Source organism: Homo sapiens, chromosome 3 (genome assembly GCF_000001405.40).
Source record: "Homo sapiens chromosome 3, GRCh38.p14 Primary Assembly".
Classification (NCBI taxonomy): domain Eukaryota; kingdom Metazoa; phylum Chordata; class Mammalia; order Primates; family Hominidae; genus Homo; species Homo sapiens.
This window is the reverse complement of record NC_000003.12, coordinates 58,032,504-58,053,482: the sequence shown is the minus strand read 5'-3', so window position 1 is coordinate 58,053,482 and position 20,979 is coordinate 58,032,504. Positions and strand designations below refer to the sequence as shown.

Below are 20,979 nucleotides of genomic sequence, written 5' to 3'. Positions count from 1 at the left end.
TCAATAAATAAATAAATAAATGTTTTGTTTTTGCTTATATTTGTGTTTTTAAAAATGATTTGGCTATGAATAGCTCAGTTATTTAACAACGGACTGTGACTTCTCAGTAATCAATGATGTATACCACAGAAATTAACCAGGCATGGTGGCATGTGCCTGCAGTCCCAGCTATTCAGGCAGCTGAGGCAGGAGGATAGACTGAGCCCTAACATAAGCTCTAACTTTCTAAAAAATAATAATAATGTCTTTCTGAAATTAACAGACTTACCTAAAAACCTGTTTATCACATTTTTTAAGGGCTAGACTGTAGACACAGATGGGAAGTCTAAAGTTCAAATGGACATCAGATCTACAGCAGAGAGGTTAGACTACCTGGGTTAACATTCCATTCTGCCACTGAATGATCTCACCCTCTCAAAAACTCCATTTTCCTCATCTGTAAAATGGGCTGACAATGTCTATACCTTGCAGGAATGGTACACACTAAGTACAGTACTGAGAGGCATAAATAGCAGTTGCCTAGCAGAAAAAAATACCCCCATGTACACACAAAATGGAGGAGGCACACAAACTAGACTTGGCACAGGCAGAAGTGTAGAAATGCGAGGGTGACCATGGGGTTTCAGTGCTATAGCTGCTTTAAATCCGGACAGGGCAGGGCATGCCCTTTACACAAAGCTGTGCTCCCTAACGTCCTCTGAGCATACTGTCCATATCATTAGTACTGCTCCTATGCTGTGCCCAGCACTGAAGTCACTTGGGGCAGGTCAGTTCACACACCTCGGCCATCAGCCAGCCCGCAAGCTGTGTGCTGCCACCCTGACTGCTCAGATGACAACCTGCCATCCACACCGATGTCATGACCACGGCACACTAAAGTCTGGAAGCTGCAATTTTTGCAGCTTCTGGGGCTTCTCTAAACAGATAAGACTGAAGTCAGTCTGGTTTTTCTGACCAAAGGCCCTGTTTCCCCTCTTACTCAGCTGTCTTACTCACCGGGCTGGGTGCCACATGACTCAGCCATTGTTAACAATCAAATCCATCCACAGAGAGAAGACCTCAGAGGGGACTCAACAGTGGGCTGGGTCCATCTTAAAGCTGGATCCAAGAGTAGTTTTGGACCCTGTCAGTCCTGTTGGAAGAAGTTCCTAATCTGAAGAAATTCTTGTCCCCTCATATGGTGGTACTAATCTACATGGAGTGATTTTTCCTGATTAATTTTTCCTAATTATAAAATGCCCCACTACAATCAATCCGAATTGTATTCCAAGTGTGGATATAATAAAGCGAGTCGAGGCTGGGCACAGTGGCTCACACCCATAATCCCAGCACTTTGGTAGGCCGAGGTGGGCGGATCACCTGAGGTCAGGAGTTCAAGACCAGCCTGGCCAACAATGGTGAAACCCTGTCTCTAGTAAAAACACAAAAACTAGCAGGGTGTGGCGGCGCGTGCCTGGAGTCCCAGCCACTCAGGAGGCTGAGGCACGAGAATCACTTGAACCCAGGAGGCAGAGGTTGCAGTGAGCCGAGATCGTGCCATTACACTCCAGCCTGGGTGACAAGAGTGAAACTGTATCTCTAAATAAATAAAATAAAGCGAGTCTCTCCCCTGACCGCATCCATCCAGCCCAACTCTCCAACAGGTCAGGGTTGCTCTGTGCTAATGCCGGGGATATGACCTTGGTCCTATCTCAAGCATGGCTCTTCCAACTTCTCAAGCCTTAACACTTCTCCGTTACTCACAAAAATCACTTCAGTCTCAACCCTGGCTACACATCAAAAAGCTTAAAAAAAAAACCCAAAAAAACTGCCCTCCCCAAAACAAAACAAAATCAGCATCTCTTGGGGAGTGGGGCTGGAGTATCAGCAATTTAAAAGCTTTCCAGCTGGGTCTACCTTCGGAATCACTGTGTGCAACTAGACCTCACAGGAATCACATCACAGCAAAATCACTACTCAAGACGACGACCCTTTATCCACATGCAGATGGACACGTAGCAGACCAGAAAAAGTATACAAAGAAAGGGAAAGGAGAGCAAGTACTGTACATGCTTGCAGAACCGGAGGTGCCCAAGGCTATTGCGCAAAGCCTCCTTCAGTGCAGACATGCGGGCCACTTGTCTCAAGGCAACAAAACCACATTCTAACAAAGAAAGGGATGATTCGGCCAGTCCCTTGGAATAAATATGCTGCAATGGTGAACAGTGAACTGGAAGAGGCATGCGTCTCCCTTTTTCTTCTGTAAAAGAGAATAGCCACTAATAGTGAAATCTTACACAAGGAAGCAGAAGGGTGTTAGAGAAGTGAGAGGCAAGCCCATCACTCACTGGAGAGGACCTGCCCTTGATTCCTGGGACAACTCCATGGCATATCCATTTTACAGTGGGGTCAGAGAGACTCAGGGGGTCCCAAGTGACGAATGGCCAGGCTGGGACAAAGCATATTCAAAAGCAAAAGTGTGATCAGGTCCAACTCTTTTGATGGCACAGATTTCCTCTAAAATGCCACTTGCCCAGGCAATATCAGCTACCCACGGAGTGAGTTACCTGAGCATCCCAACAGCAGCGCTTCACCCGCAATAGGAACAAATATTACCCCATTTCACAGAGCCAAAACAAATGCTGGGAGAGGCCTATTTGCCCAGAAGCACATGCCAGTGAGCAGAAGGGCCCCAGAGGAAGCTGTGGAAGGGGGCACAGAGGACCTGTCTCAGCCACCCCATTTCAGGAGCTACCCAGTGCACCAATCTGGAGACTTAGGGTCTTCCAAATTCTAATCTGACATTGAATGTCAGGTGGGATGGAGGCCAGGGTTTCAGAATCAAGCTCAGTGCCTCCCATCTGCTCACCCATGAGTCCTCACTGGTATAGTGTGCAGGTAATCAGTACTTCAGCTGGGCAGAACTGCCTTGGGTAATTGCTTAAGGGGAACCTCCAACAGGCCCAGAGAAATCTGAACCACAAAATCCAGTCCATGATTGAAACTGCCCACCCAGCCCTGGAACCCCTGTTTTTTCCAGAACATTTTACGGGAGACTTCAAATAAAATTAAATGGCTGTAGTTACCATACTCAGTCCTTGATTTCATTCAGGTCCCCACTTCTGGTCTGAGAGCCCACTCCTGCACAGCAAATTACCCTTTAAAAATGAAAAAGAGACCAGGCATGGTGGCTCACGCCTGTAATCCCAGCACTTTGGGAGGCCGAGGCGGGTGGATAACGAGGTCAAGAGCTCAAGACCGTCCTGGCCAACATGGTGAAACCCCGTCTGTACTAAAAATACAAAAATTAGCTGGGTGTGGTGGCACGTGGCTGTAGTCCCAGCTACTCCAGAGGCTGAGGCAGGAGAATTGTTAGAACCCGGGAGGCAGAGGTTGCGGTGAGCCAAGATCATGCCACTGCACTCCAGCCTGTCAACAGAGCGAGACTCTGTCTCAAAAAAAAAGAAAAAAAAAAAAAAAAAGGCATTTTCTATTTCTTCCAATGAACAAGGTAAAAGGAAGTTTTGTGAGTGTCTAAATCCAGAAGACCCTCCTCTGCCCCCATCCACGGGGTCCTCCCACAGTAGTGGGTGAGATCAGAGGGGCAGCTAGGGGTAGATGCCCACAGATTACACGTTTTCTCACACTACCCTGAGCAGTCTAATGAACAGTTTCCACATCAGCCACCCCTCCTCCCCAATTTAAGGGGAGCTGCACAACAGTCCTGACACCCCCTTTGCAGCTCCTGGAGTGTTCCCCGAGAGCAAGCCAATTTTTCCAGGGCATTGGGCCAACAGTGTAATCACAGGCCGTGGTGGAAGTTTCTGGTAGTTCATCAGAACTCAGAAACCTGGCTGGGGGCTGCACACAGGCAAGAGGCTCCATCAGGCTTCCTGTCACAATAAATTCCTCCACACCCTACCTGTGAAACTCCATTCCCATTTATTACCAAAACTGGAGCCCTGACTTTCAAGCTTTTTCCTGAGGCCTGAAAGCTGGCCCTTCCAGCTGATGACATCACTGACAAGCTTCTGACAATGGCTCCCTGGAGCCTAAACCTCTGCTAATACCTAGCAAGGGCACATTCTTCATGGGTGAGGTCATATTCAGCTAATTACTCATCTAACCCCCACCCCAGTGCCCAAGGCCACAGCACGGAGATACCACTACACTTTGCTCCTCCTCCAAGGCCCTTCTCGCAGCTGCAAACACCACCAGGCAGCAAACACAAATGGTGGCCATCCCCGAGAAGGCGGTGGGACGTGGGCTTGGAAGATCGTACAAATAAAAATACAAGATATCAGTTACATATTAATTTAGATAAACATCAAATCGTTTAGCATAGGTATGTCCTACGCAACGACTTGTAACTTGTGAGAGCTGTCTGCCACACTTGGAACATACTTATACTAAAAAGTTATTCATTGTCTATCTGAAATTCAAATTTAACTGTATTTTCTCTGGCAATACACAGTGAAACACAGTGGTGGGAACACAGGTGAGTCTCCAGCCCTTCATTTGGCCTATAGGATTTCCTAAACCATTATACAGGACAACAAATGCTCTACCAAAAACATACACAGAGTGAAATGTACTGAGAAGCTGTAAAAGCCAATGTTTAAAATACAAATGAGAGTTACCAGTCACTAGTTACATTTTAAAAATAAAAATTAACACACATACAAACAATTAACTGCTGATTATGTAAGAGCCATGTGTTACCAGCAGGGTATTATAACTGTAAGATGCTATTATTTTTCCCAAAACAGTTCACCAATGAGTGAAAACTGCTGGGGAACAGGATATTCATGTAGTCTCAAAGATTACTTACCAATTACAATCACAGGTTACCTAATCATTATACTAGGAGAAAGGTATTGTTTCAACAGAGAGCAGGCGGACACCACTTGAAGCAGGTGACCACACTTAGCACCACGAAGTAACAGGACAAACTGAGATTGTGAGCCTGTGCTGTGAGGCAGTGGGAAGTACCTATGACCTCAGGAAGTGCCCTAGCCAAAAATATTCAACTTGAATTTAATCACAAGGAAACAGACAGACCTAGAATGTGGAACATTCTACAGCCGAAGACCAGCTGCACTGGCATCACCGGGATGCTGGCTGGAAATGCAGATTCCCAGGCTCCACCCTGTTCTCCAGAATCAGAATGTGCATTTTACCAAGACCCTCCCAAGCACACTTGAGAAACACCAGTTCTACAAGACAACGGGCCTGATTTCTTCAAAAATGACACGGTCACGAAAGACAAAAAAATGTGTAAAAGGCAGGGGGGCTGTTCTTGATTAAAGGAAAAGTTGAGGTATGTGACTTTGAAACCAAATTCAATTGAGTAATCGTTAATTGGTTCCTGGATCCCAAAAAATGCCATTTTTTTTTAAACTGTCATAAAGGACACTTGGGAGCATTTTGGGAAGTTTTACACAAGATGTTATTACTGTATCGGTGCTAACCTCTTGGGTATGCAGTGACGCTGTGGTTAGAAGAATGTCCTGGGAATGCAGAGACACTGTGGTTAGGAGAATGTCCTTTTTCTTAGAGATGCTTGTTGGAGTATGTGGGGGTGAAGGGTCATGATACGAGCTGAGTACTTTCAAATGATTCAATAAAAAACACGCATGTGGCCAGGCATGGTGGCTCACTCCTGTAATCCTAGCACTTTGGGAGGCTGAGGCAGGAGGATCACTTGAGGTCAATAGTTCACGACCAGCTTGGCCAACCCCATCTCTACTAAAAATACAAAAATTAGCTGGGCATGGTGGCCCGTGCCTGTAATCCCAGCTACTCAGGAGACTAAGGCAGGAGAATCGCTTGAACCCAGGAGGCAGAGGATGCAGTAAGCCAAGATCATGCCACTGCACTACAGCCTGGGCGACAGAGCCAGACTCTGTCTCAAAAATAAATTAAAAAAAAAAAAAGTGTGTGATATGCATCTTTAGAGCAAGTGATAGAGCAAGCAAATATGGCAAAACATTAACAATTGGAGGCTCTGGGGAAGGTTATATAAGAGTTGGCTATAATCTTCTTTCATACTATCTATAAGAGTGAGGGTTTCCAGACCAGCCTGGACAACATAGTGAGATCCCATCTCTAAAATAAATAAATAAATAGGGTTGATTGAGGGTTTCCAATAAATTTGGGAGTGGGAAGGAAACATTATTGCTAAAATGAAAACTGTTAAAATAAGTCAAACATCTAGAAAATAAATATAAGAAAAAAGTTCATTACAACTCTGGGTCCTGAGCATCTATATTAATTAACATGCACTAATTTTCTTGGCAATAAAAGAAAACACACTTTCTTCCAGAAACCAATTTTTCTCTTTGGTGTCAAAACATTTAAGAAAAGCAGCAACCACTTAGGTACAGGGAGTTTGAGAAAGTTTGTCTTTTAATCTCCAAATGTAGAAGTTGGCTTTCCAGGAAAAAACACACCAGGCAAAGTAAAAATAAATCTGAAAACTTTAAAGCTTTATTTGAAAATTCAAATCCTACACATTCCAACACTTGGCCGTAAAAAAGAATAAAGTACAGACATAACATGGCTGAACCTTGAAAACATTCTGCTAAGTGAAAGAAGTCAGTAACACCAGAACACGTGTATGATTTTACCATATGAAATGTTCTGAATGGACAGATCCATAGAGACAGAGTAGATTAGTGGTTTATTGGGCCTGGTTGGGGAAGGGAAAGGGAGAGTGACTGCTAATGGATACAGGGGTTCTTCTGAGGCAATAAAAATATTCTAAAATTGGCCAGGCACAGTGGCTCACACCTGTAATCCCAACACTTTGGGAGGCCAAGGCAGGCGGAGTTTGAGACCAGCCTGACCAAAATGGTGAAACCCCATGTCTACTAAAAATACAAAAATTAGTTGGGTGTGGTGGCATGCACCTATAATCCCAGCTACTCGGAAGGCTGAGGAAGGAGAATCGCTTGAACCTGGGAGATGGAGGTTGCAGTGAGCCAAGACTGCACCACTGCACTCCAGCCTGGGCAAGAGTAAGACTCCGTCTCCAAAAAAAAAAAAACAATTCTAAAATTATAGTGATGATAGTTGCATAATTCTGTGAATATACTAAAAATTGCATACTTTAAAAGGGTGAATTTTATGGTGTGTGAGTTATATCTCAGTAAAGCTGGTTTTGGGGGGATTTTTTTAAAGAAAGAAAATTCCTATAAATTCCTCTAGCCTGCAAGCTCTTATTCTTCCTAGCAGAAGGCAGTATTGTAGTTACAAGTAGGACTAAGACAAGCCAAATCCCTTGGTCCCTGTGACCTGGAACCAAGGAGGCCCAGGTTCTAGCCCAGCCCAGCTACCACAACTCACTGTGTTACCTTGATCAGGGCCTGTCCCTCTCTGAGATTCTGATTAACAGAATATCTTCCAATCTGTAAACCTGGCTGGACCAGAAGGCATCTTGAGGTTCTCCAAGGTATTCTATTAGAACCAACTCAAGTCTTTTTTTTTTTTTTTTTTTTTTTTTGGAGACGGAGTCTCGCTCTGTAGCCCAGGCTGTAGTGCAGTGGTATGATCTTGCTCACTGCAACCTCCACCTCCTGGGTTCAAGGGATTATCCTGCCTCAGCCTCCCAAGAAGCTAAGACTACAGGCGTACACTACCACGCCCGGCTAATTTTTATATTTTTAGTAGAAACAGGGTTTCACCATGTTGGCCGGGCTGGTCTTGAACTCCTGACTTCAAGTGATGCACCCGCCTCAGCCTCCCAGAGTGCTGGGATTACAGGCATGAGCAACCATTCCTGGTCCAACTCAAGTCTTTTACCTCTATTTTACACAGCACAGTTATTGAACTTTCGTGAGCTTAAGAGAATCATAAAATTTCATTTGGTTCATCCAAGATCAAGTTTCAGGTTCACAAAATTGAGTTACTTCCTTTAAATCGGGGGTGTCCAATCTCTTGGCTTCCCTGGGCCACACTGGAAGAAGAAGAATTGTCTTGGCCACATAAGATACACTAACACTAATGATAGCTGATGAGCTTTAAAAAACAAATGCGAAAGGATCTCATAATGTTTTAAGAAAGTTTACGAATTTGTGTTGGGGCGCATTCAGAGCTGTCCTGGGCTGCCTACAGCCTGCAGTCTGTGGGTTGGACAGGCTTGCTTTAGATGGTCTTGGGACTCTCAAACTCATACTCAGCATTGCAACTCAGTTCAGAAGACAAACATGTGAAGGGAACGTCATTTTCAAACTGATCATGGTGAGGATTTTTATGAAACTGTCCCAACAAACTTTTAGGATTCCATTTATGCAAGTAATACTATGATTCCCCAACTCCACCCCCAAGTGTTAATGCTGGAGGCAGAGCCAACCCATGACCTATGAATTTGGCAATCAGGGTCTTTTACACCTAATAGAGGTCAGGATGGTGAGGGGGCACATCCCTTCACCCAGGCTCATCCCTACAAACTCATTTCTCATCTTCTGGGCAGCAGAAGCCAGACATTGCAGCCACAGTGGACAAAACTCCACAGAGCCAAAGGCAATACCCTGGAAGTAATCAGCACTGATTAGTGTTTGGGGAAATCCTTGGCTGTAGCACACTCTTTGATTCAGTTTTTCCAGTCAAAGCCATCCTCGAGTCATGCTGACTTGGGCCTAGAAGGAGGAAATTCTCATTCATGCCTCTCAGACAGTGCTGTCTCCTCTGCAGGAAGGAAGGGCCCACACTGGAGCAGAGGCAAGTTCAGGGGGGTCCCAAGGTGCTGATCTGGGCATCGCTTCCAGGCAGGAAGCAGCCATCCACGTAGCTGGGCTAGAGCTTCAGCTGATATCTTCCTAGCTTGGGAGAGAGGCCCTTGATATTATTTGTTTATTTATTTGAATTTTTTACTTTTTGAGACAGGGTCTCACTCTGTCACCCAGGCTGGAGCGCAGAGGTGTGATCACAGCTTGCTGCAACCTCGACCCGCCAGGCTCAAGCAATCCTCCCACCTCAGCCTCCTGAGTAGCTGGGACTACTGGTGTGCGCCATCATGCCTGGCTAATTGTTGTGGGGTTTTTTTGGTTTGTTTGTTTGTTTGTTTTTTGTAGAGACAGGGTCTCTTTATGTTGCCCACTCTGGCTTTGAACTTCTGGGCTCAAGCGATCCTCCCACCTTGGCCTCTCAAAGTGCTGGGTATAGAGGCATGACACGGCACCTGGCCTAATACTATTTATCATCATCTTGGACTTAAGAGAATGCTTCCCAACCAGACAATGAGAGGCACCTACCAGTCCCTTCTGGGCCATCAGCTAACATCACAACTTCATTAAGCACAGACTCCACCCACCCAGATTTGTCTTAAAGGGCCCAGCCTCATCACCTCTCAGTCCACAACTGACTGGACTGGGGTGGAACCTGACTCAATCCAAGCCGAATCAGGTTCTCCCTGAGGTCTCTGCCTATGGCTACACCGAGTGAAATGTAAACAGCAGGAGCTGCAGGGCAGCCCCGTTGCCTGCAGTGATAGCAGGACTCCTCTACAGAGGGAAGGGACAAAACAGACACCAGGAAGACAAGAAACCATGGCTTTCTGATTTTGGGTTTCAAGTCTTCCTGAGGCCCTGCTGCAGGATTACACTTAAGTCTGTGAACCCGTGGTTCATTATAGGGATCACTGGTTGTTTCTGATGCCCAGTACTGGGGTGGGTGCATGAGACAGGAGCCTCCTAAGCACAGCCATTGGCTCAGAGCTGGGCACATAATTCAAGGAGTCTAATAGCAAATCCTGGACTTGTATAGGAGCTATAGGAGAGTTTTGCACTCAGCACTCTCACTCTCCTTTCTGGCTGGGTTTGGACCTGGGAGGCATAAAGGTCCAGAGATGCCAGAAGCCCTTCTGCCACCACATAGAGCCAAAATGAATGAAGCAGACTGGAGATGAGGAGAGAGATCAAACCCTGAAGACCCGTTTGAAACTTGGGACCAAGTAATGCTTGGGGGCAGTCGGCTCTGGGATGTCTCAGTTACTGGGACAAGTGGCTCCCTCTTTTGCCTTTAAGCAGTTTCAAGTGGTTTCTACAACTTGCCACTAAACAGAAATTCACAAAACTCTCCTGACAAAGAATTTTTTCACTTAAGCCAGCTCAAGTGAGTTTCTCTCACTTGTACTCAAAAGAATGCCAAATTACCAGCCTGGTCAACATGATGAAATCCTGTCTCTATTAAAAATACAAAAATTAGCCGGACACGGTGGAGTGTGCCTGTAGTCCCAACTACTTGGGAGGCTGAGGCAGAAGAATTGCTTGAACCTGGGAGGCAGAGGTTGCAGTGAGCAGAGATCATTCCCCCGGGCAACAGAGTGAAACTCTGTCTCAAAAAAAAAAAAAAAAAAAAAAAGGAATGCCAAATTACCAAAATGACTTATCCAGTTTACATAGCTAGAGTTTAAGGTTTATGTTCTCAAAACAACCCAATAATGCAGACAAAACTCTAGGAAATTTCCCAATTCCTCCTCAGTCTATCAGAAGAATTGATGAGAAGTTATAGGTGTCAAATGACTGTGCTCAACAGCACGACATGGCCCAATATTGGGCCTCCTGGGATTAATTCCCTCTCAGCACCCTGCTAACCATCACAAACAAACATTCCCAGTAGAAAATCACAAGTCGGGTAAAAATACAAGAACTGCTTTTGTAGCATGAGATGAAAGAAGGGATAAATCTATAATGACTAGCCCAGGCGCAACGAACGGCTCATGGCTGGAGGCAAAGGAGAGAGTATAACTTGACCCCAGGAGTTCGAGACCAGCCTGGGCAACATGGCAAAACCCCGCCTCTACAAGAAAAAACACAAATTAGCTGGGCCTTGTGATGCATGCCAAGTAGCCTCCCAGCTACTTGGGAGGCTGAGGTGGGAGAATCCCTTAAGCCTGGGAGGTTGAGACTGCAGTGAGCCATGATCGTGCTACTGCATTCTGGCCTGGGTGACAAAGTGAGACCCTGTTTTCAAAAAGTAGAAATAAATTTGCTGGGCATGGTGGCACATGCCTGTAGTCCCAGCTACTCAGGAAACTAAGGTGGCAGGATCACCTGAGCCCAGGAAGGTGGGGGCTGCAGTGAGCTGTGATCATGCCACTGCACCCTAGCCTGGGTGACAGAGTAAGACCCGGACTTTAAAAAAAAAAAAAAAAAAACCTACAGAGACTAAAGCTCCTAAAAGGTAAATAAATAACAACAAAAACCAGTAAGATCCTCTAATCAAACAGAGCTAATGCAAATCTAAAGTTTACCCGCATCAAAGAGGAGGCCAAGTCCACTTGTGTCCACTACAGCCACATTTCCAGGCCAATTAGAAAAACCAGGCCAGCATGAATCACCAATTGTTCAGGATTCTAGAGGACTTGTTCAACCTAGGTTGCAGAAAACCCATACACACCAAACACAGGTGGCTTCATGGAGAATGCAAAGCTGGGGAAGAATGGGGTCAACTGAGAAACTTTAGAAATGAAGTGGTTCACCAAACTGACCACAGAAAGAACTTCAAGAATGCTAAAATCTCTAAACTCTCTAATGAGTCTCAGAACTCTCTAAAAAGAAAGCAAAGAGGGCACTTGGGGCAAGACAGCTGGATGAGGAACCCTTCTGGTGCTGTTTGACAGTTAAATTCTGTGGCTGGGACCACCCAGCTGGCTACAGTCAAGACAAGCTGCTCGGGAAGCTTCCCTCCTAAGGGAAGCCCACAAAGAAAAGCCAAGCAGGGTTCCAGGAAGGATTTGTAAGGTAGGCTTGAGGCAATTTCAAAAACATGACCCAGGTGACCCAAGCACATAACTGCTTTACCCTGGGTCAAGGCTACTGGCTCAAGGCATGGATTCAAGGCAAGAGTGCTTGTCTTCCCGGCCCAGTGACTGCAGTGGTGGTGGGTAAGTTACTATTCTTTGGAAAATTAAGTTAGGAAGGAAAAGGTTGGCTTACAGCTCATGGGCTAGTCCCACTGGTGGTGGTGGTGGTGGTTGGTGGGGAGGGTCGTTCAGCAAAAGCAAGGAGTCCTCTGAGTCCAGCCACAACCTCCTCACCACTGAAGGCCTGCTGACATCCAAAAGCCCAGAGGCCCTGACAACATTTCCTGTGGCTCACAGACTAACCCAGCACACCAGGGCCGCTCAGCGGGAAGAGACAATGCACACACTGGCTGGTTCAGCGCTGGAAATCCCTGCCCACCTGGCTGCTTCTCTCATAAATGGGAATAATCTGGCTTTTCTTCTGAAAATAAATACTGCAAGCTCATTGTAATATCATAAAGTGATACTGAAAGCAAAAAGAATCAAGTTAAATCCTTGTGTCCACAGGGATACCACACAGAAATCTGGTTTGTGGAGTTCCCCAGATCTGCTGCTGCTCCAGGCTCAGCCACTTGCTTGCCAGCTAGGTGACCGTAAATGTAGCCTCAGTTTCCTCAGCTGCAAAACGGGATTAACACCGTTCCTCAGACCTCATGTAAGTGACATGAGGCATAAAAAGCCACCTAGCACACAGTAAGCACTCACTCACTATGGTTAGCACTCAAATAATAGTCTAATTAAGTTTCTATAATGATCAAACTTTAAGAAACATGTATCCATTCTATGATCCAAAAAAAATACAATAAAGATTTACAGAAAAAGAGAAAAGAAAAACCCAGATGCAGCTCAACTCCCACACATGAATGGGATGGAGCGGGGAGTATATTTTAAAGAAACCATGTTGGCTGGGGACGGTGGCTCACGCCTGTAATCCCAGCACTTTGGGAGGCTGAGGTGGGTGGATCACCTGAGGTCAGGAGTTCGAGACCAGCCTGGCCAACGTGGTGAAACCCCGTCTCTACTAAAAATACAAAACTTAGCCAGGCATGGCAGGATGCGCCTATAGTCCCAGCTACTCAGGAGGCTTAGGCAGGAGAATCGCTTGAACCAGTGAGACGGAGGTTGCAGTGAGCCGAGATCAGGCCACTGCACTCCAGACTGTGTGACAAGAGCAGGATTCCATCTCAACAACAATAAAAAAAAGAAACCATGTCCTCAGACCTACCCTTTACACCCTGTCAGGTACCCACTCCCATGAGGACTTGCAGGCATGGACCAGAAGCTGCCCCCACCTTAATGAGAGGGCCAATGGCTCCATAAGAGTAAGATGCAAACAGCTATCATGTTGCTGGCCAGAGGCCAGCTCCATGAGGGTAGAAGGTAACTGTTTACTCACACTCCCCTGCAGTTTCAGTTACTGTCCTGTTTGCTTTGGCTCGCTGGGTCAGGGTGTATTGCTTATTATTCAACAAACACTAATCCCGCAAGAGAACCTGAGAGGCCAGCGCTGGGGGATTTGCCGTCACAGCACCCCAAAGATCTGGCTTGCTTCTTTTTTTGAGATGGCTCTTGTTGCCCAGGCTAGAGTACAACGGCACAGTCTCAGCTCACTGCAACCTCTGCCTCCCAGGTTCAAGAAATTCTCCTGCCTCAGCCTCCCAAGTAGCTGCAATTAGAGGCACCTGCAATCAGACCCAGCTAATTTTTGTATTTTTAGTACAGACAGAGTTTCACCATGTTGGCCAGGGTGGTCTTCAACTCTTGACCTCAGGTGATCTGCCCACCTCAGCTTCCCAAAGTGCTGGGATTACAGGCATGAGCCACCACACCCTGCCCTGGCTTAGTTTTGCGCATCTCTTCACAACGTGAGATGTTCCTCTTTGCTGGGAGCATACACTAGTGCTACCCTCCCCACCACCCATGAATAAATCATGGTGATATTCTGGGCAACAATGAAAAGAGGCAATAAAGTGAATGGTGTCCTTCCAAAAGCAAATCAGGGCACTTCTGCATTCTCTGGGAGGAAAAGAACCCTCAATAAGTTTCCACTTTCAGAGCACAAAAAAGCTAGTTCTGTTCCTTCTAGTCATTGTAGTTCTTGTTTGCTACTCAGCAACTTGAATTACAGTAGAGTCAAGTCTAGTAGGAAATGCACTAGCTGGGAAAACAAGGCAAGGGGGGTGGTGACCTAGATCCCCCCAGTCAGACTAGCCCCTGGTCAGCTGTGAACCTCTGGGCATCAGTTTTCCCATCACGAAATGAAATGTCTGCATCACTAGGCTTTCCCTTAGATACAAGTTGTAGTGAACAGAGAACCAAGACACCGTTTTCCATTAAAAATTTGCTCAAGACTGGAATCACTTTTCTACACCTTTTTTTTTTTTTTTACCTATCAAATTCTAATCCAACGAGAAGTAATTAACAAACCAAACCCACAAAGTCTGATTTTCCATTCAACAGTTCTGATGATACTTATGCAATTCTTCTTTTTTTTTTTTTTTCCTGTAGAGACAGGGTCTCGCTATGTTATCCAGGCTGGTGTTGAACTCCTGGCACAATGGTTCATTCCTTGAGCCCACGTGGTCAAGGCTGCAGTGAGCTATGATCATGCCACTGCATTCCAGCCGGGGTGACAGAGCGAGATCTTGTCTTTTTTTTAAAAAAAAAAAAAAAAAGGAACTAACTTCAAGCAACCCTCCCACCTTAGCCTCCCAAAGTGCTGCGATTACAGGCATGAGCCACCATGCCCAGCCCAATTGTTGCTTTTGAGAGTAAACAAAGATACAACAGGTTGGGATTATAGTACCACATTGTTCAACATCATCTACAGAGAACTATCTCTTCTATGCACTGGGTGCCAGCTGACAGTCAGCACAGCCTTTCCTAACAAGGGGCAGGGCAGACAAAGGAGATGCCTGCAAGTAGTAACTGCCAGAGCTAAGGAGGTGCATGGGCAGAACTTTAAAATCCGGCCAGGCACAGTGGCTCGCTCCTGTAATCCCAGAGCTTTGGGAGGCTGAGGCAGGAGATCACTTGAGGCCAGGAATTTGAGACCAGCCTGGGGAACATAGTGAGACCCTGTCTCTCAAAAAAAAAAAAAAATTAATTAACTGGGCATGGTGGAGCATGCCTAGTAGTCCCAGCTACTTGGGCAGCTGAGGCGGAAGGATTGCTTGAGCCCAGCAATTTGAGGTTATAGTGGTCGTACTCCAGCCTGGGCAACAGAGCGAGACCCCCAACTCAGGAAAAAAAAAAAAGCCATCAATTCACAAACAATCAGATTCTGACAAGAACTAACTCAGTCTTGACTTGGTGCCAAAAAGACGTCAGCAGCTTTCACACAAATCTCTCTTTTTAACAATAAGAACAGGCCGAGCATGGTGGCTCACGCCTGTAATCCCCACACTTTGGGAGGCCAAGGCAGGTGGATCACCTGAGGTCAGGAGTTCGAGACCAGCCTGGCCAACATGGCAAAAACCCATCTCTACTAAAATACAAAAATTAGCTGGGCATGGTGGCGGGCACCTGTAATCCCAGCTACTCGGGAGGCTGAGGCAGGAGAATCGCTTGAACACAGGAGGCAAATGCTGCAATGAGCCGAGATCATGCCATTGCACTCTAGCCTGGGCAACAAGAGCGAAACTCTGTCATAAAAACAAACAAACAAACAAACAAACAAACAATAAGAACAGGCCTCAGGCTCAAAGTCTTCAAAAAACTTTTCAAGAATTTAGTAACACGTTGTTTTCATTGATTTTATTTATTTTTTAATTTTTTCTTATGCTATCTCCTCTAACTTATTTTTTCAAAGCCTAGTTACCTGTTCTTTCTGGCAAGTGATCGTGGTTTTCATTTAAGATCATGTTCTCTAGTTTCCTTTTACGAGTAAAGTAGTATAAAGATGAGTAGATATGAAGAAAAAAAACATTCACAAAATAATACTGGCACCTGGAGTAGGCAGAAACCATGCCAGTGATCTAAAAAAGCCAGAGGGCAGAGAGGCTGGTCTGGTGGAGGGCCAGGGTCATAAACAGAATCATGGCCATTTTACAAGGATTCTAATTTGTGTGCACAGTGCTGTGGGAATGCAAGGGAAAAAATGAATAATTCTACCTGGGGGCTTTCGAGAGGACTTCACGAGGGAAATCATCTGAATTGGTTCCTGAACTACAAGAAAAAAAATGAGTGGTCAAGAGGAGGCAGCGGGAGGCAAGGGTGAAGGAACCTCCCCATTCATTACAAGGGGCTTTAGCTGGCTGATATGAAGGTTGAAGCCAATGCTAGCAGCCCACTGAGGACAACTTGCATTGCAGGCTAAAATGACTCTGATGTCGGCCAGGCGTGGTGGCTTACGCCTATAATCCTAGCACTTTGGGAGGCCAAAGCGAGCGGATGGCCTGAGGTCAGGAGTTCCAGACAAGCCTGGCCAACATGGCGAAACCCCGTCTCTACTAAAAATACAAAAATCTGCTGGGTGTGGTGGTGCACTCCTGTAATCCCAGCTACCTGAGAGGCTGAGGCAGGAGAATTGCTTGAACTCTGGAGACGGAGGTTGCAGTGAGCTGAGATGGTGCCACTGCACTCCAGCCAGGGTGATAGAGCGAGACTGTCTCAAAAAAAAAAAAAAAAAAAAAAAAAAGACTCTAATGTCAAGTCTGGGCCCAGTGGGAAAGAACATCATATCAACTGACCAGCAATGTTTGTCATGAAGAGAAGAAAGTATAGCCGGGGTGCTATTTGATGACCCTGATTCTGGCTCAGTCTTCAACGTTTACAGGTGAGAAACTGAAACTGCCTTTGCAAAAATTATAGACAGTGAAAGAGGTCAGACCTAACCGACTCCATCTTGCTTCTAACCTTTAGGCTGTCCTTGTTCATTCCTGGGCATAGGCCAAACTAACCTTGGGAATGAATTTAGTTTATGGTTTCACTCTGAAAAAAAACTGCTAATAGCCCTTTCCCAAAAAGACCCTCTTCTTGCCTTGGGAGCAGTCTGCCTTTGTAGGACTAACAAATTAGCTACAAGATTAGAAATTAAGGTTTAGGGGTCAGAAACTGCAAGAGTCTGAACCTCCACAAATTGCTTCTGGAGATAACATCACTACTGTAAAACTTAACATCAGTGCTTGAGATAGTTTGCAGACCCTGCACTCCATGGATCAGCTGACACCTCCCAGAGCGGTAATCTGGCTCAACCAGTTCTGCCATCCCACCCAGGAACAGAAGACAGCAAGAAAACGTCACTTCGACCCCCTGTGACTCCATCTCCAACTTGACCAATCAGCACTCCCCACTTCCTGAGCCCCTACCTGCCGAATTATCTTTAAAAACTCTGATCCCAAATGCTCGGGAGACTGATTTCAGTAACAATAAAATTCTAGCCTCCCACACAGCTGGCTCTGGGTGACTTACTCTTTCTCCATTGCAATTCCTCTGTCTTGATAAATCAGCTCCGTCTAGGCAGCAGGCAAGGTGAACTCGTTAGGTGGTTACAAAACTGGGGTCCAAAGCCCCAGAGCTGACGAAGAGCACAGTCAGAATAAAGAAACAGGTATCCTGAGTCCACGTCCTTCTCATTCTGTGCTCTAGGGTCCTCTTTCATCTGAATCAGCAGCATTTACAGCCATGGAGTCATTATAAAGAAAAGCAAATCTGTCCTAAGTCTTGAGTCAATTAATTAAGGAGTTTAAATGTATGGGTCCAAAACAATTAAGCTTTGTGGAATAAGAGCCCGGGTGAGCTCACCAGTGAGAGAAGGATGGTCTCATTTGAAAGTACATCTCTGTAGAAAGTTAATTCCAATAAAAATCTTTCCCATGCTGCCGCCCCAGGCCGAGAATGTTGTACTGAGCCAAACTTCACACGTAGCTGACTGATCCATCCAGCAAAGAGTGGTCTCCTTTAGCTAAGGCCGTGATCAAGAGGCATTCTGTCCAACTAGGAATTCTCAAAACTTCCACTTTCCTCCTAGCAGAACCTTCCAATCTGGAATCACACTCACAATGACTGAGGCTGCTGGCTTGTCCGAAGTCCAAGCCCTATAACCACGGATCTTTTTTTAGTTTTTAATTGGGGAGAGTCACTGTGGTTGAGCTACATTTTCCTCTCCTTCAACATGGACCCTGGAAGGCAATCAAACCCCTTATTTCTCACACATTCATTATTTCTTTCAACTCTTCCTCTTAAAAAAGTTGGGGGTGGGGTACATGTTGCGTTCCCTAAACCACCATTCTGCCCCCTCTTCAGATGGAAATCCCTCAAGTCTACAGACTGAGGCTCACAAATGAAGTTACCTGATATTTTAAGAGGCATGGAAATTACACCACTTAAATTTGAAGTCAGATTTTATTTCATATCCAAGTCTAAGTAACAGCTTTTAATTACATAGACAGCTTAAAAGAAACCTCAAGCACTCTGCAATTTACGTGTATTTTGGGTTTGGTTTTGTTTTTGTTTTCCTGTTTGATCTGCCTGTGAGGTGAAGAGGTAATCTCACTTCACAGATGTGGACAAGGGGATTACCCTAAGTCACACAGCCTGTGACACCAGGGTTTCATCAAACAAAGGGGCTTTCTAAAGAATAAATGGCAACCTAGTGACACAGGAAGCCACGTGAAACACCTCCTTGAGGTCCACTCCACCAATCCTCTGCAATGTCCCCAATTTCAGGTAGAACATGTGATCTAGGACAAGCCAGTCCCAAGAGTCATTCCCAAGAGTCAAACACCCTTGCCAGTGGTGGGCTGAGATGTGAGCAGGTGACATAGGCTGGTCCAATCACAGTGAACCTCAGGGCTTTCCTGGGACTGCTGGGATCAGGGCCCGCCTTCTTCCTCTGGGAGGTGTGGGGTGTGGCTGCGGGCCTGGGACTGCTACACCCACCCGTCTGTGGAGAGACAACAGAATCAGAGAAGCAGAGCCAAGGCTCTCTGATGCCCTGGAGACTTCCAGGTCCAACTGCCTGCCTACCCCTTGACTTTTCAGTTACGAGAGCCAATGAGCTCCCTTTTTGGATAAACCAGGATTAGGTAGGTTTCCCATGACTTGGAACCATATACATCCTAATGGATACATTTATATTCAAAGTCTTTCTCTACTGCTTCCTGGCTGTGCCACAAGTTACTAAACCTCTCAGTGCCTCGGTTTCCTCATTTGTAAAATGGTGGAGTGTTAGAATGAAGTGCGATACTTGGTGTAAAAACCAACTGAGAACAGTCTCTGGCCTGTAGCAGGGATTCGCTTACCACTGCACTCCAGCCTGGGCGACTAGGGCGAAACTCTCAAAAAAAAAAAAAAATTGTCTTTAAAAAACAGAACCTTTTTGTGGCTAGGATGTGCAAGAACTGGAGCTCTCAAACACTGCTCGTGGAAATGTAAAACAATACAACCACTTTGGGAAACAGTTTGGCAGTTTCTTGAACAGTTAAACGTACACCTATGATGTATGATCCTAACATTCCACTCAGAAAAATAGAAATATACATCCATACAAAGAGTAGTAAAAGATGTTCATGATAGCTTTATTTAGAAACCACCCGGCCAGGCGTGGTGGCTCACACCTATAATCCCTGCACTTTGGGAGGCAGAGGTGAGCGGATCGCCTAAGGTCAGGAGTTCGAGACCAGCATGACCAACATGGTGAAACCCCGTCTCTACTAAAAATACAAAAATTAGCCAGGTGTGGTGGCAAATGCCTGTAATCCCAGCTACTCAGAAGGCTGAGGCAGGAGAATTGCTTGAACCCGGGAGGTGGAGGTTGCAGTGAGCCAAGATCACACCACTGCACTCCAGCCTGTTCAACAGAGTGAGACTCCGTCTCAAAAATAAATAAATAAATAAGAAACCACCCAAATGTTATCAACAGAAGGATGTATAAACAAAATGTAGTATATCCATACAATGGACTACTACTCAGCAATAAAAAGGAATAGGACTATTGACACATGCAACAAGGATGAATTTCAGAATAACTATGCTAGAAGAAGCCAGACAAAAAGAGTACATACTGGCAGGGCGTAGTGGCTCATGCCTGTGATCCTAGCACTTTGGGAGGCCAAGGCGGGTGATCACCTGAGGTCAGGAGTTCGGGACCAGCCTGGCCAACATGGTGAATCCCCATCTTTACTAAAAATACAAAAATTAGCTAGGCATGATAGCATGTGCCTGTAATCCCTGCTACTCGGGAAGCTAGGGCAGGAGAATCACTTAAATCTGGGGAGATGGAGGTTGTAGTGAGCCGAGGTCGCACCACTGCACTCCAGCCTGGGTAACAGAGTGAGACTCTTGTCTCAAAAAAAAACAAAACAGCATACTATATGATTCCATTTATATAAAAGGCTAAAAGATGAAAACTGACTGATAATGACAGAAAGCAGATCAGTGAATGCTTGAGCATGGGTGTGGAAGACATGGAGAGATAAAAGGCAAGAATTACAAAGAGGCACAAGGAAACTTCTGGGGCTGGATAGGGAGGTTCGCTGTCTTGATTATGGTGATGGTTTCCTGATGTGTGAGTGTACATGTGTACACAGGAGTGTGTGTATAAGCTAATCAAAATGTGTTCTTCATTGTATAACAATTATACCTCAATATTTTTTGGGTTTTCTTGGCAGGGGTGGGGAGATTGAGACAATGTCTCACTCTTTTGCCCAGGCTGGAGTGCAGTCATGCAATCTCAGCTCACTGCAGTCTTGACTTCCCGGGCTCAAGCAATCCTCCCACCTCAGCCTCCTGAGTAGCTGGGACCACAGGTGCATGTCACTACACCTAGCTTTTTTTTGGCGGGGAAGGGAGTAGAGATGGGGATCTCTCAATGTTGCCCAGGCTGGTCCTGAATTCCCAGGCTCAAGAGATCCTCCTGCCTTGGCCTCCCAAAATGTTGGGATTACAGGCATGAGCTACCACACCCAGCCAATAAAGCAGTTTTTCAAAAATTAAACCCATCTGAGCTCATATATGCAGGTGCCTGGGATACCAGACCACATCCCACTAGATGGGGACCACCAAACCACAAAATGGACCTGCTTGAATTTGGCCACAGTGTAAAGGTGTTCTTAGAATGCAACTCTCTCTTAACACTCATTCCACTGTTGAACCAGCCCTACTCTAGACTTTTACCTACTTTTAGAGACAATGCAACTGATTCAGCAGTCCCTTGAGATGGTACCTTGAGCAATATCTCCTTCTGCTCAGAC

The 20,979-nt window shown here is 45.7% G+C and overlaps 1 protein-coding gene across 4 annotated transcripts in view, besides 7 other annotated features; it reads right to left on the bottom strand.

Moving 5' to 3' along the window:
• The window catches only part of FLNB (filamin B), a 163,830-nt gene that overhangs the window by 118,769 nt on the left and 24,082 nt on the right, over positions 1–20,979 (bottom strand). The gene's annotated exons all lie outside the window — the stretch shown is intronic.
• Positions 847–1,141: an enhancer, noted in NCBI's record as "tiled region #2534; HepG2 Activating DNase matched - State 5:Enh, and K562 Activating DNase unmatched - State 5:Enh". NCBI's record gives its function as "activates a minimal TATA promoter and a strong SV40 promoter by Sharpr-MPRA in HepG2 and K562 cells {active_cell/tissue: HepG2 | K562}" and the evidence as "EXISTENCE:reporter gene assay evidence [ECO:0000049][PMID:27701403]".
• Positions 3,594–4,793: an enhancer, noted in NCBI's record as "BRD4-independent group 4 enhancer chr3:58034417-58035616 (GRCh37/hg19 assembly coordinates)". NCBI's record gives its function as "activates an origin of replication core promoter dependent on BRD2, P300/CBP, MED14 and CDK7 cofactors, and independent of BRD4, by STARR-seq in HCT116 cells {active_cell/tissue: HCT116}" and the evidence as "EXISTENCE:reporter gene assay evidence [ECO:0000049][PMID:35650434]".
• Positions 10,524–11,037: an enhancer, noted in NCBI's record as "H3K27ac-H3K4me1 hESC enhancer chr3:58028173-58028686 (GRCh37/hg19 assembly coordinates)". NCBI's record gives its function as "activates a minimal SCP1, AML or CMV promoter by ChIP-STARR-seq in primed H9 embryonic stem cells {active_cell/tissue: H9 hESC(primed)}" and the evidence as "EXISTENCE:reporter gene assay evidence [ECO:0000049][PMID:30033119]".
• Positions 11,553–12,067: an enhancer, noted in NCBI's record as "OCT4-NANOG-H3K27ac-H3K4me1 hESC enhancer chr3:58027143-58027657 (GRCh37/hg19 assembly coordinates)". NCBI's record gives its function as "activates a minimal SCP1, AML or CMV promoter by ChIP-STARR-seq in naive H9 embryonic stem cells {active_cell/tissue: H9 hESC(naive)}" and the evidence as "EXISTENCE:reporter gene assay evidence [ECO:0000049][PMID:30033119]".
• Positions 13,430–14,009: an enhancer, noted in NCBI's record as "OCT4-NANOG-H3K27ac-H3K4me1 hESC enhancer chr3:58025201-58025780 (GRCh37/hg19 assembly coordinates)". NCBI's record gives its function as "activates a minimal SCP1, AML or CMV promoter by ChIP-STARR-seq in naive and primed H9 embryonic stem cells {active_cell/tissue: H9 hESC(naive and primed)}" and the evidence as "EXISTENCE:reporter gene assay evidence [ECO:0000049][PMID:30033119]".
• Positions 14,828–15,328: an enhancer, noted in NCBI's record as "H3K27ac hESC enhancer chr3:58023882-58024382 (GRCh37/hg19 assembly coordinates)". NCBI's record gives its function as "activates a minimal SCP1, AML or CMV promoter by ChIP-STARR-seq in primed H9 embryonic stem cells {active_cell/tissue: H9 hESC(primed)}" and the evidence as "EXISTENCE:reporter gene assay evidence [ECO:0000049][PMID:30033119]".
• Positions 18,116–18,615: an enhancer, noted in NCBI's record as "H3K4me1 hESC enhancer chr3:58020595-58021094 (GRCh37/hg19 assembly coordinates)". NCBI's record gives its function as "activates a minimal SCP1, AML or CMV promoter by ChIP-STARR-seq in naive H9 embryonic stem cells {active_cell/tissue: H9 hESC(naive)}" and the evidence as "EXISTENCE:reporter gene assay evidence [ECO:0000049][PMID:30033119]".